This window comes from Homo sapiens, chromosome 6, assembly GCF_000001405.40.
Source record: "Homo sapiens chromosome 6, GRCh38.p14 Primary Assembly".
NCBI classification, from domain to species: domain Eukaryota; kingdom Metazoa; phylum Chordata; class Mammalia; order Primates; family Hominidae; genus Homo; species Homo sapiens.
In genome coordinates this window covers 105,977,164-105,990,604 of record NC_000006.12, presented here as the reverse complement: position 1 = coordinate 105,990,604, position 13,441 = coordinate 105,977,164, and positions in this window count along the sequence as shown.

The window sequence follows — 13,441 nt, the reverse complement described above, 5'->3', positions numbered from 1 at the left end:
CTTCTCTTTTTCTGCCCTCCACTTTAAGTCAGTTATCAAGTCCTGCCTGATTTAAACTCCTAATTGTGCCTCAGATATGCCCCTTCCCTTCCTTTCTAATTCCTGCTGCTCCAGTCTAGGCCTTCCTTGTCTTGCTCCCTGGCTCCCTTGCTGCAGCAGCCTCTTCACTGTAAGCCTCTGCCATTATCATTTCCTTCCAGTCCTTTGTTGAGTGACTTATCTGAAAAGCAGATCTGGACATGCCACTCACCTTTATAGGCTTCCTATTACTTACCAGATAAAAATCTAAGCTCTTTACCACCATTCTAAGGCTCTGTACCTCTCTCTGGCTTTGCCTTTCTCTCCTTCCTGCCCTGACTTCACATTCTAGCCACACTTCATTCATTCATTCTACACCACTGTGTGCTAGCTACTGTCCTAGCCACTTGGGATGTCTCAGGGAAAAAAAAGCTAAGATCTTTGCCCTTGTGGAGCTTATGTTATGGGAAGGATCACATCAGTAAACAATAAACATAAGTAAGCACAATTGATAGGACGAGGGAGGGTAATTCTAGATAGGTTGGTCAGGGTTGGCTTTATTGAAAAGGTGACTTTTGAGCAAAGATGCAAAAGATGAGGCAGTGAGCTATGTGAAGAAACAGAGGAAAAATATCTACACCGAGGGGACAGCCCGTGCATATCCCTGAGGTAGGAGCGTGCTTAGCATACCCAGGAGAGGCAAAAAGAGAGCAGGGAGAATGACAAGAGATGAGGGCAGAGAGACAACAGGGGAGTGTGCCTTTGGACAGGCCCTCATTAGCCATTGTATTAAGTTGGAGACTTTGTATTTAATGGGAAGCCAACTGCTTGTGGTGGTCACACTCTCCCCTACAAGTTGTGTTGTTCAGCCCTATGGTCTTTAAAGACGTGCTGCTTTTCTTTGTATTGCATCCCTCTCTGCAGCTGAGTTTCTGCTCCCATAGCTCCTTGTGATTATCTCTGTTATTGTAGTTGCCATATTACTTAAGAATCTTACATCTTGAGGGAGGATTTTGGTTTATTTTTGTATCCCCAGTGCCTATAGCAAGCCCTCAAAAGCTTAGTGAATGAATGGTAATGTTTGTTTGTAGAGTACCTCCAAATATCAGGCGTATATGTTTATTAATTCTTAAAACAACCCTACAAGGGAGCTCTGTTGTACCTATTTTACAGAAGAGGAAATGAAGTTCAGAGAGGTTAAGTAACTTATCCCAAGTCACACAGCTGGTAAATAACGGAGCTGGGTTTCAAACTCAGCTGTCTGGCCAGTTGCTACCCTGCACTATTCACTAATGAGACTTCCTCACTAGATTGAATAAACGAGATGGAAGGAATTTATCTCTGGTTGTTTCTTGCCCTTGGCTTCTTTGTGCTTAAAAAAAACCCCACTTATCATTTCTCCTAGGTCTATTCATTAATTCATGAAACATTTAATAAATACCTACTGTATGCCATGTACATCGAATACATTGCTGAGCAAAACAGATCTATTCCCTTCCCTAGTGGAATTTATACCATAACAGGGAAGATCCAGAACTGTATAAGCAAGGGCAGTAAAGTGCAGTCATTGCTCTGATGGGGGAAGTACAAAGGGCTGCTGAGCTGTATACCATTATAACAGTAGCGCCAAATTCAGCCTGAGAAGGCCATATGGTTGACAGCATCTGTCCTGGAGGAAGATAATTCCAAGTGGAATGTGCCATTGGTCCTAGAATACTGAAATTCAGAAAGTGAAGTTATAGTTGTGAATGAAAGAATCCCCTATGAACTTGTATAAGGTAGTAGGTATTATATAAACTTGTAAAGAATCTTGTTCTATCTTTGCTCTATTCATTTTTTTCAAATTTGGCTAATGTTAGTGCCATTTTTCCAAATCTGATTACAATCTTTATGTGTTTATAAAGCATAAACTTTTTAACCACTGTTTTTAAATTTTTATTTGATAAGTTATTTGTCCTATTTATTTGCAAAGAGAGAATGCAATGCATCTGTTTTAGTAGGTAAGACATTCCAAAACTATGAAATCTGAGGGCTTATTCAAATTATTTTGTTCCACTGGAATTTGGTGGTATATTGCATCATTGGCTGGAGTTTGGTAACTTGTTACAGAATGTATTTTTTTTATTATGCTGATGGGAATGAAATTTAATGTTTGCTCACTTTTAATTAGTGCTCAATGGAAGAAATAGCCCAGGAAACCATGAAAGGTGGTGTGACTGAGACAGGAAGAAGCCAGGCTGGAAAACCAGAGACCCATATTCAGAAAGTAGCATTTTAGTGCTTTCTAGCTGGTGGAAAATTAATAGGTTGTTCTCTACAGATTTCCCCTGTTTTTCAAGTGGGAATATTGTATTTGCTACCATAATAACTCTAATATATGACCTGATTTTCAAAATTAAAAATTTAAGCATGAAAATAGTTACTCAGACTTGAAACTGGTGGTGGCAACAGAGCAGTTGTTTTTAATAAGAAAATGATGGCGAAGATCAAAGAAGAGCAGGATCAGGATGTGGGAGTGAGTCTCTTTATTGTAAACTGCTTTGGAGGGAGGTGAGAGATGGAGATTAGAGATGATGAAGACCTTTCCTTTTGGTTTCTCTGATCTAGCCATGGATGATGAGAGTCCCTCTGGATGAGCGTCAAAGAAAAGACATGGTTAAATGGGTAATAAAAAAAAAATCAATGGCCCATAAATGCTAAGTGTTTTAAGTTTAAAATTTTCCCTCAAAAAAAAAAAAAAGTTTAGCTATTCAGTTATTGTCTACAGCTTGTAAAACACAAGTTTCCCTAATGGAGCAAGTCCAGCAAGTCTTGGTTGTAGAAAGAGATAGGACTATCATGAGAATTCAAAGACTCCTGGCAAATATATGTTTTAAGGTTTTAAGAAGTTCCCCAGAGGAGAAAATATGCTGAAAAAAAAAATAGTCATAAAGTGCTTTTTTATGTTAAGAACAAAAAGACAGGAAATGTTTTTTCCCCAAATATTGTTGCATTTTCTCCATCTGGTGAAATAAAATAAGACAGATATGTTATTCTCCACTGTTACACAAAAACACCAGCAGCAGGCCGGTTAGATAGTGGATAGCTGCTGTCCCTGGTGCACTAGGTATATCATTACTGTCCCCCCACCCCACATAAACAAAACAAAAGAAAACAAAACATCCAGAGTATGTACTGCTTCTCTGAGGCCATCAAAAGTTCTTGGCATATAACATAGAAATTTCTTGGTTAATAGAATAACAAAATACAAAACTGTCATCATTACGTCTAAGGAAACCTTCCCTGTTTGCTAACTTCCTTCCAAAACATTTTTGCCCTAATTACATTTTTGTTGGTGGTTTGGAGAGGCCAGGACAACCCAAGGGGATGATTTCATTCTAATTGCATCTTTCCTTTCCCAGGAGGTCTGTGTCCTTTCATATCCACCAAACTCACTTGATCCCTTGATTAACTGTTGTCCACTTGTTACTGAGAAGAAACAACAATCCAAACAAGCTCTGTGAGATTGACTTGATTTTTTTTCCCTGCTGAGATCACAAAACTTGTATGCCAGTTCTTATCCAGGGCTCCAGGTGTGATAGGGGAAGGGTGTGTGTGTGTGTGTGTGTGTGTGTGTGTGTGTGTCTGTGTGTGTGTGTGTATGACTGTGTGTGGTGTGTGTGTGTGTGTGTGTGTGTAGTGGAAGGTATTACTAGAACGCAGAACATGTATCCCAAAGTGTGCTTTCGGGGGGCTACTTTCCATAGTTTGTACCCAATTTTAAAGAGATTAATGACCCTCAAATTGTTAAGATCCACTCCCCATAACATCCAGGTTAATTCCTCCATTGTTGCCAGACGTGGGTTCTTGCTAGGCCAGGGTTGCTGGAATGCATTGAAAAGTCGTTTTAATGAATTTCTGCAATAATCTATGATCTCCCCAGCAACTGCCCTCGGGATGTCATCCGCAGGCTCTGGCAACAGTGTCCAAATGCAACGTCCTTCTGAGCTGACCCCATGTAGCCGCGTCCGGGGCGAGCAAAAGCAGGACCTCGGTCCGCAGAATGCACTCTCCAGATCACACAGCGCCCGACGCGGTCTTCCTGGGGTGGCCTGTGTACTGGAAAACGGGGCCCCATTTTCCCCCAGAAATCTGAGGGATTGCTGTAGAGGGAAAAAGGGAATTCGTCTCTTAAAAAACATCATAAAAGAAAGGGCGCCTTTCCCCAGGGCATTTACGCGGGTGGGCAGAAGCCGCGCGTGTGCCCGAGACTTGCAGACTAGAGTCAGGCAGGCAGGTCCTTCCGTGCCTCCGGACTAGAGACCCCGCGTCCAGGCAGCAGCATAGTCACGCAACGCATCTTCGGCCTCAGAGCTCGTCCAGGAAGGACTGCGGCCCAGAGGACTCAGCTCCGGCGGGAGAGGAAGCGCTCTGGTCGCTCCTCCTCGCTTCGCTTGCGGTTAGGAGAAGGTGCTTGCCTGAGTCCGGAGACCCGGCGCCCTGCCCAGGCCCCAGGACAGACCCACCATTGAGGCTCGCACTATATTCGGTAGGAGGGTTTCCCTCCCTTAAGGGCAAGATGAATTGACAGCGTTCACTCCTGGCCGGCGATGCCACTACCATCTTTGGATCCATTAATTCTTTCTCTGAGCCCCCGTTTTGTACCGGCATGGCACTGGAGATGTGAAGCGTCTATGTAGATAGGACAGTGTGTGGACCTAGGTGAAGTGCTGGGGAAAGTCCTGAGTAGGAGGAACCAGCAAAAGAGCGAGTTTTATGGGCTCTTTTCTCTCACTGATCCAAGATTACTACTCCCTAAGGGAGTGTTAGCATCCCCTTTGACAGAGGGGAATATGGACACCCAGAGAGATCAAGTGCCTTGGACCATGGGGCTGGAGCCTGTGGCTGTCCACTGCCAAACTTAGCTTCCTCCCAGCTGCCTCCAGTGAAAAGGCTTAACTCTGTCCAGGAGAGTGGGCAGAGATCCAACAGAGGAAGCAACCGTGAACCTGGGTGTGTCTGGGTGCGCTTCTCTTTCGCTCTTCAGTCTTTGTAAAGTGGGAAAAGTAGGAGCATACCTGGGCAGGCTCTCAGACCTCTTTTTTTTTTCTTTTTTTAAGTATCTACCCTCACCGCTTATGTTTTCTCTTGCAGTCACCAGCTCCTACAGCCTGACCATCCCCGAATTAAAAAAAAAAAAATTCAGCCTGTACTTCTTCCCTAAACTCCAACCTTGTTTCATTTATTCAACTGCCTACTTGATATTTATCTCCACTTAAATGTCTAAAAGAACCTCAAATTTATTTATTTATTTATTTATTTATTTATTTATTTATTTATTTGAGATGGAGTCTCACTCTGCCACCTGGCTTGAGTGCAGTGGCACAATCTAGGCTCACTGCAACCTCCACTTCACAGGTTCAAGCAATTCTCCTGCCTCAGCCTCCTGAGTAGCTGGGATTACAGGCACCCACCACCACACCTGGCTACTTTTTTGTATTTTTTAGTAGAGATGGGGTTTCTCCATGTTGGCCAGGCTAGTCTCAAACTCCTGACCTCAAGTGATCTGCCCGTCTCAGCCTCCCAAAGTGTTGGGATTACAGGCGTGAGCCACCAAACCCAGCCTCAAATTTAATTTGTTAGACGCTTAGCCCCTATATCTGCCCCATCTTCAGTGTTCCCCCTTTAGATTAAGAGCAACACCATTTTTTTCAGGAGGTGCTCAAGCCAAAAACCTTGGAGCAGCCCTTGGCTCCTTGATCATACTCCAAATGGAGCCTGTTGGTGAATGCTGTGCCTCTACCTTCTGTGTATATCCAGAATCTGACCATTGCTTACGACTTCTTCTCCTACTGCGTGGGCCCACACCATCATCCTCCCTCACCTAGGTTGCCAGGACAGCTTCTTGACTGGTATCCATGCTTCTGTCTTGTCCCCCTTTACAGTGCATTCATTCTTAGCACAGCGGCCAGAGTGATTGTGATACATAAAGGAGCTCAGAATCCCTCAGCGATTCCCCACTTCACTCAGAGAGTAAAAGCCTAACTCTTCTACCTCCTGAGTGACTACTGCATGTCTGACCTTTTCTGCTTTCTCCTTGCCCATGCCCACTCCTGTCTGGCTACACTGACCCTCCTGTTTTTCCTGCCTTAGGGCCTTTGCACTTGCTGTCCCCCCTCTGCCTGGAGCACTGTTACCCAGATAGGCATAGTTTGTTTCAACTTTTTGCTCCAATGTCACCTCCTGAGTGCAGCTTTCCCTGACCGCCTATTTAACATTGCCACCTGATCCCCTCCTTTTCCCCTTTCCCTGCTTTGTTTTTCTCCATGGTATTTAACTTCCCATATACTACATTTACATTATCCCCCTCTTACTGCTTCTGTCTCTCCACAAGAATGTAAGTAATATATATGAGGGCAGGGATTTTCTTTTAAGTAGCTGTATCTCCAATGTCTCAAACAGTGCCTGGCACATGGAAAGCACTCAATAAATATTTATTTTAATAAAATGGGGAAAGGGAGTGGCTCCAGTATTTACTAGCTCTATGACCTTGGACAAGTGATTTAACTGCTCTAAAGCTCAATTCTCTCATCTGTAAAATGATGATAGATTCTACCTTATAGGGTTATCAATAAGTAAATACACATAAAACACTAAGTACATAACACAATAAGTGGCAGTTGTTTTTACTGGTATGTGATATTGATAGTATATGCAGGCCAGACTTCTGTGTATATATGGTTTGTACTTTACCTTCCTATCTTTTAGAAGCCATTTCTCCTGTCTACTTGTAGCTGCACAATGTAATTAGAAACATAGCAGGCCAGGTGCTGGGGCTCACATCTGTAATCCCAGCATTTTGGGAGGCTGAGGTGGGCAGATCACTTGAGGTCTGGAGTTTGAGACCAGCCTGGCCAACACGGTGAAACCCCATCTCTACTAAAAATACAAAAAATTTGCCAGGCATGGTAAAAAAAAAAAAAACACCTGTAATCCCAGCTACTTGAGAGGATGAGGCAGGAGAATTGCTGGAACCCTGGAGGCAGAGGTTGCAGTGAGCCAAGATCACACCACTGCACTCCAGCCTGGGCAACAGAGTGAGACTCTGTCTCAAAAAAAAAAAAATGTAGCATCCAGCTCAAAATGTCTCTTTGTTACTGATATTATTTGTATGGTGTCTCAGAATTGTGTGGTCACTGTTACTCTCAAAAGCTTAAAAAAAGTTGGTTCTCTGAAAAACCACTTTTTGCTTAGTTTGTGTCAGCAGCATGACCTACATTTCTCATCATCTTCCATGGAAAGGGGGAAGTGGAAGTTAGATTCCTTGAGAGAATGTGAATTATCCCCCTTTATGACTCTATTGGAAATTTTTTTTTCTTTTTGGCTGAAACAACAGAAAATTATTTTCTCAGGGTTCTGGAGGCTGGAAGTCCAAGATCAAGCTGTCAGCAGGTTTGGTTTCTTCTGAGGCCCCTCTCCTTGCCTTGCAGATTAGCCACTGTCTTGCTGTGTCTTCACATGGCTTTTTCTTCTCCACACCCCTTTCCCCCACCCCCACACATATTCCTCATGTCTTTTTCCAGGGAAATTCTTCTGAAGATGTACAAGGATGGGGCTGCAGGGTCCTGGGGGTTGGAGAAAGCAGCACTTGGCTTAAACCAATACAGGCTGGCGGTGGTGCTAGAACTGGGCTTCCTTCCAGCTACCCTGCCTGTCTCCTTAGGTATATCTCCCTAGGGAGGACTCACTTGATAACATGTTTGTGTGTGACAGGATTTAGTGAGGGAAACTGGAGCTCCCTCGTGCTCTTCCCTCTGGCTAGACAGACCACCTTCTCCCCTGGCTCCCTGTCACCTGGCTTTGCTCACTGTCCACCTTGTTTAAAATCGCAACTGCCCCACACTGCGCATTCTCACTCCCGCCCACCGAGTCCACACCCATGCAAGCTCCATGAGGATGGCAGTTTCTCTCTGTTATGCCTCTGCTTTCTTTTTTTTGAGATGGAGTTTCTTGTTGCCCAGGCTGGAGTGCCATGGTGCCATCTCGGCTCACCACAACCTCTGCCTCCTGGGTTCAAGCTATTCTCCTGCCTCAGCCTCCCTAGTAGCTGGGATTACAGGCATGCACACCACGCCAGGCTACTTTAGTATTTTTAGTAGAGACAGGGTTTCTCCATGTTGGTCAGGCTTGTCTTGAACTCCGGACCTCAGGTGATCCTCCCACCTCGGCCTCCCAAAGTGCTGGGATTACAGGCGTGAGCCACCTCACCAGGCCATGCCTCTGCTTTCTCCATAGTTCGAAGGGCAGGGCCTGGCAAAACATCACTGTGAAATTCTTGTTAGTTGCACGACTCCTCTCACCGAGCTTATTGAATTCTACCAAGCAGCCCCTGACATTCATTGAGCAACCCCCGTGCCAGAACACTTTAAATGCATCATCTCATATTCTCACAACAGCCCTCTGAGGTAGACGTTATGATGATCCCCACTTTGCAAATGAAGTGAAGACCAGTGAGGTTAAGTAACTCGCTCAGGGTCGCGCGGCAGCTGACAAATGGTTGAGCTAAGGACAGAATCCAGACAGCCTGGGTCCAGGGCCTGAGTTTCAGTCTTCCTTGGGAAGGTGGGTCTCAGGCAGCATCGGGCGCAGCAGGCCTGGATCCTGCAAAGTCCGAAAAGGCTGGTGTCCTTCCAAATCCTTTCATCCCTTCCGCGGCCACCCGTGTGGCCCTCGCCGTAGTGGAGCTGTCCCGAAGCCAGCGCTGGCCTAGCGTGAGACCCTCAGTCAGCCCAAGAGGACAAGCAGAGACGCGCCTTCTCCGACGCCCTCTGTCTCAGAGTCCCTCCTGGTGCCCAAACAGCTTGAATTTTCCGGATAGGAATGGCAGAGCCCGTGGCGTAGGTGCGCCCCCAAAGGCCCCGCAGGCCGCACCCCTGCGGATTTCCCCAGCGGGACTTGGCCACCATTCGGATCCCCTTGGAAGACCCCGACGGAACAATCGCGTCGATAAGGAAACTGGAAACCGGGAACTGGGACTCCGGGAACCGAGAACCCGATTGCCCCTGGCCGCAGGCGTGCCGTGTGAGCTCCTGCGCACGGTTCCCGGAAAGGCGAGGAGGAGCGAGCGCGCCGGGCCGGCCCCCAGAGGGTACTCTCGGGTACCTGCGCTCCCACCGCTACGCGGGGCCGCCTGGCTCCTGGTTCTCATCGTTCTTATGCTTAAAGTGGAAAATAAAAACAACTTGGAGATGGAATAGTTCAGTCGGTGAGTCCGTTTTTCTCAATCCTTGCGGAGATGGAATCCAATCTTCCGGCTCTACCACCCTGCGACCCCGGATTCGGGGTCCCTGCCCGGGGACCGCCCGCATCCGTCTGGGAATACATCCACTCACCACAACTTCTTGAAACTCTTTCAACGCAGGAAGGCAGAGAGGATAATTGACAATTTCATTGCACAGTCACCGAATTCATAGCAGTTTTTGGTCATTTTGTTGTGATGGGTTTTATTTTCAGTCACGGGATACCGAAAGCATAACAACTCATTCTGTGGGTTTCTGGTAAAATCTGGAGGTTAAAATACCTGAAAATTCTGGTAATCTCTATTCTGATGAGTCAATTAAAAAGAGTTCGTTTACCCATCACAGCCAGGTAGAATCATGAAAAAAAAAAAGAAAGAAGGAAAGAAGGAGAGAGAGAGAGAAAGAAAGCAAAAAAGAAAAAGACAGAGAGAAAAAGAAACTCAACTTCTGCAGTTACGTTTGGAAACTCAAAACTCAGCTCCTATGTTTTCAGTTGCAAATTAGAGTTCATATTACTTGCCTACATTTGCCTTACGGAGAAGTTTGTTTCTGAACCAATATTTGCTCAGGTTTTCTTCCCCAGACATAAATGGCATCATGGAGTCATTAAAATAAAACTAACAAACATAAGACCCAACTGATTTATGTTTTTTTAAATGTTAGTTATTGAATCTTGTACTCTGAGTTGATGTTTTTTAAGAAGGTTTACTTTAAAATGAATTTTAGGCCGGGCGCGGTGACTCACGCCTGTAATCCCAGCACTTTGGGAGGCCGAGGTGGGCGGATCACGAGGTCAGGAGATCAAGACTATCCTGGCTAATACGGTGAAACCCCGTCTCTACTAAAAATACAAAAAATTAGCTGGGCGTGGCGGTGGGCGCCTTTGGTCCCAGCTAATCGGGAGGCTGAGGCAGGAGAATGGCGTGAACCCGAGAGATGGAGCTTGCAGTGAGCCGAGATCGCGCCACTGCACTCCAGCCTGGGTGACAGAGTGAGATTCCGTCTCAAAAAAAAAAAAAAAAAAAAAAGAAAGAAAAGAAAAGAAAGAAAAAAAAAGAAGAAAAAATGAATTTTGGAATAAAAAGTAATTGAGATTGGGAGGCCGAGGGGGGTGGATCACGAGGTCAGGAGATAGAGACCATCCTGGAAAACATGGTGAAACCCCGTCTCTACTAAAAATACAAAAATTAGTCAGGGGTGGTGGCAGGTGCCTGTAATCCCAGCTACTTGGGAGGCTAAGGCAGGAGAATCACTTGAACCCAGGAAGTGGAAGTTGCAGTGAGCTGAGATCACACCACTGCACTCCAGCCTGGTGACAGCGCAAGACTCCTGGAAAAAAAAAAAAAAGTAATTGAGATGTTTGGCAACCTCATGGTAAAATATAACAGTACACCAAGGATGAATTTAGCTCTGTTTCTTGCTCCATTACTCACTCACTTGACGTGGCCTCTGACAAGTCCCTTCACTGTCCTGGGCCTCAGGCTTTCCAAGAGGATCATCTTTACCATCTACCTGCCCCTGGGGGTGTCGTAAGGGTTAATGAGATATATGGTGAGTGCTTTGATTCTAGGGTGAATGACCCTGTACAAATAAAATATGATTACATCTGAGATCCATCTTTGATTCATCTGAATAAATGGGCCTTCCCTTTATGAAATCTTCCTGTTAAATTTTCAACATTGGGTTGTTTGGTTTTAAAACTCTATGCGTGGGCATTCTATCGCTTAACACACCATGTAAATGTCCTCAAAAAGTTATACTAGCATGTTAAGGGAGAACTTCTATTTGTTCATAGATATCAAAGAATTAATTTTTCTCCTTAAATCATTCAATGTATTTATTCAACAAATGTTTACTGAAAATACACTTTTTCTGAGGACTTCAAGAGGTTCAGGGAATGCTTACAAGGAACAATCTTGTGTGTCTCCAGCTCCCAGGCATTGTGTTATGTGCTTTATGTGTATTAGTTCATTTACTTCTTATAACAACTCACTGAGATGCAGGTACTGTACCGTGATTACCTGGTGTATCGAGTGCAGGCTGAAGAGTTTCTGTGTAATTCAGTAAGCAAAATATTGAAGACTTTTGAATCAGGGAAGTGACATCAGCAGAGTAGCATAGTTTTGTGAGGTCACTTGCAGCAACAAGGAGGTACTTTTTTAAAACCTCTGATGGAAATTTATGGTCACTTCTTTTTTCTTTTTAAGAAGAAAAAAGATTTGGCCAACACTGCCTCAGCAAGTATGAAATTCAGCTATCTTGCAGTGTTTAACATCCTTAGACCAGGTCATCCCAGAGTTGAGAGGATGGATTAGACAAAAGGTAAATATAAGCAAAATATGAGCACTTAGTTGGAATTAGCCAAACATCCAAAAGTATAACTACCCCTCACCTCTGCACTCCCCACAAAAAGAAACAGAAGAAATGCACATAAGCTTTCATGTGGTCACTTCCTGGTTTTTAGAAGTTATCTAAAAGGCAAAATTTTAAGAAGCATATCAGCGGCATTGATTTGAATTTGTCTCAAGTGTTAAAGTGATATCTAATCACTTCCAGGTGTCATTGCCATACTAAGGCTCTTTTTTAAATGGTGTATTTGAATTATGAACTTGCAGATTTTAGACAGGAAGAAAAGGCAATACAATAGAGTCTATAGCTATATAGTTCATAGGCAAAATTTGAAAATTGGAGAAGTTTATATTCTTCACATAAGAAAGAGGTTCATATCCCCTTATTTAATGGGGAAAGAAAAAAAACCTTGTGGATTAGGCCTATTTTGCATGAAACACAAAGATGTTTTATCCATCCTGGAAATATAGTCTACCAAATGATGACTTGTGATGTTGGACAGAGAAGAAGAAACAAATTGAACCACAAATACAGTGTGGATAGTTAGGCCAGCTGCAACAGATTGCTGAAAAAGTTCACTATTTATACTATAGTATTATGGTGTTATACATTTGCTACATGTTGACAATGTGCTAAGTCATCAGTATGATTAAAGCGAACACCCATATGCTTGGTTGACAGTGTCCTAGTTTATAGTCTTAGATATACAACACTGACACATACACACATATTACAGAAGCAGATGTATATATGGAGTACAGCAAGTGTTGAATGATTTAGATATACAGGAATTAGTTCCGGTGCTTTTCATGCGCAAGAGAATAGAAAGTAAGATATGCAAGTCACATATTCAGAGAAAGCATTCTTAGGAGAGTTAGAGGAAACTCCTGTCTTGCTTACAGTTACTTAGTTGGGAAAGGATTCTTGAGAAGGAGCCAGAGATGGGGATTTCAGAGTAACAAAATCACAGTATGTTAGAATTGGAAGAGTCTTCAGAAGTCAAAATCTAGCCGGGCATGGTGGTTCACACCTGTATTCCCAGCACTTTGGGAGGCCAAGGCAGGTGGATCACCTGATGTCAAGAGTTCAAGATCAGCCTGCCAACATGGCGAAACCCCGTATCTACTAAAAAAACAAACAAATAAAAAATTTAGTTAGGTGCGGTGATGCACACCTTTAATCCCAGCTACTTGGGAGGCTGAGGCAGGAAAATTGCTTGAACCCAGGAGGCAGAGGTTGCAGCGAGCTGAGATCACGCCACTGCACTCCAGCTTGGGTGACAGAGTGAGACTCAAAATAAAAAGTGAAAATCTAATTCATTTTATGAATAAAGAAGCTGAGGGCCAAAGCCCTTGAATGGTGAATTAGTAGCAGATCTGGACTACAATGTAGATGATCACCCTCTGATGCTCCGGTGTTCTTCCATGTCAAAGTTTTTTTGTTTGGTTATTTGTTTGTTTATTTGTTTTTCTGTTTTTTGTTTGTTTTGGTTTTACTTCTTATAAAAAATCTTAAATGCATACAAAAATAGAATAGTACAATGAACCTTCATATATATTGCCTAGCTTTATGCCACTCTGATTTCATCTATTCTCTCATTTTCATTTTATTTTTTTCTGGAGTATTTTAAAGCAATTCCCAGCATCCATATTGTTTCTCCCGTAATTACTCCAGGATGGCACTCTAAGTGATAAAGACCTTGCAAAAACATAACAACCATGCTATCAGCACACTTAACAAAATTTACAATAAACCTTAATGTCATCTAATACCCACTTTTTATTCACATTTTCTCT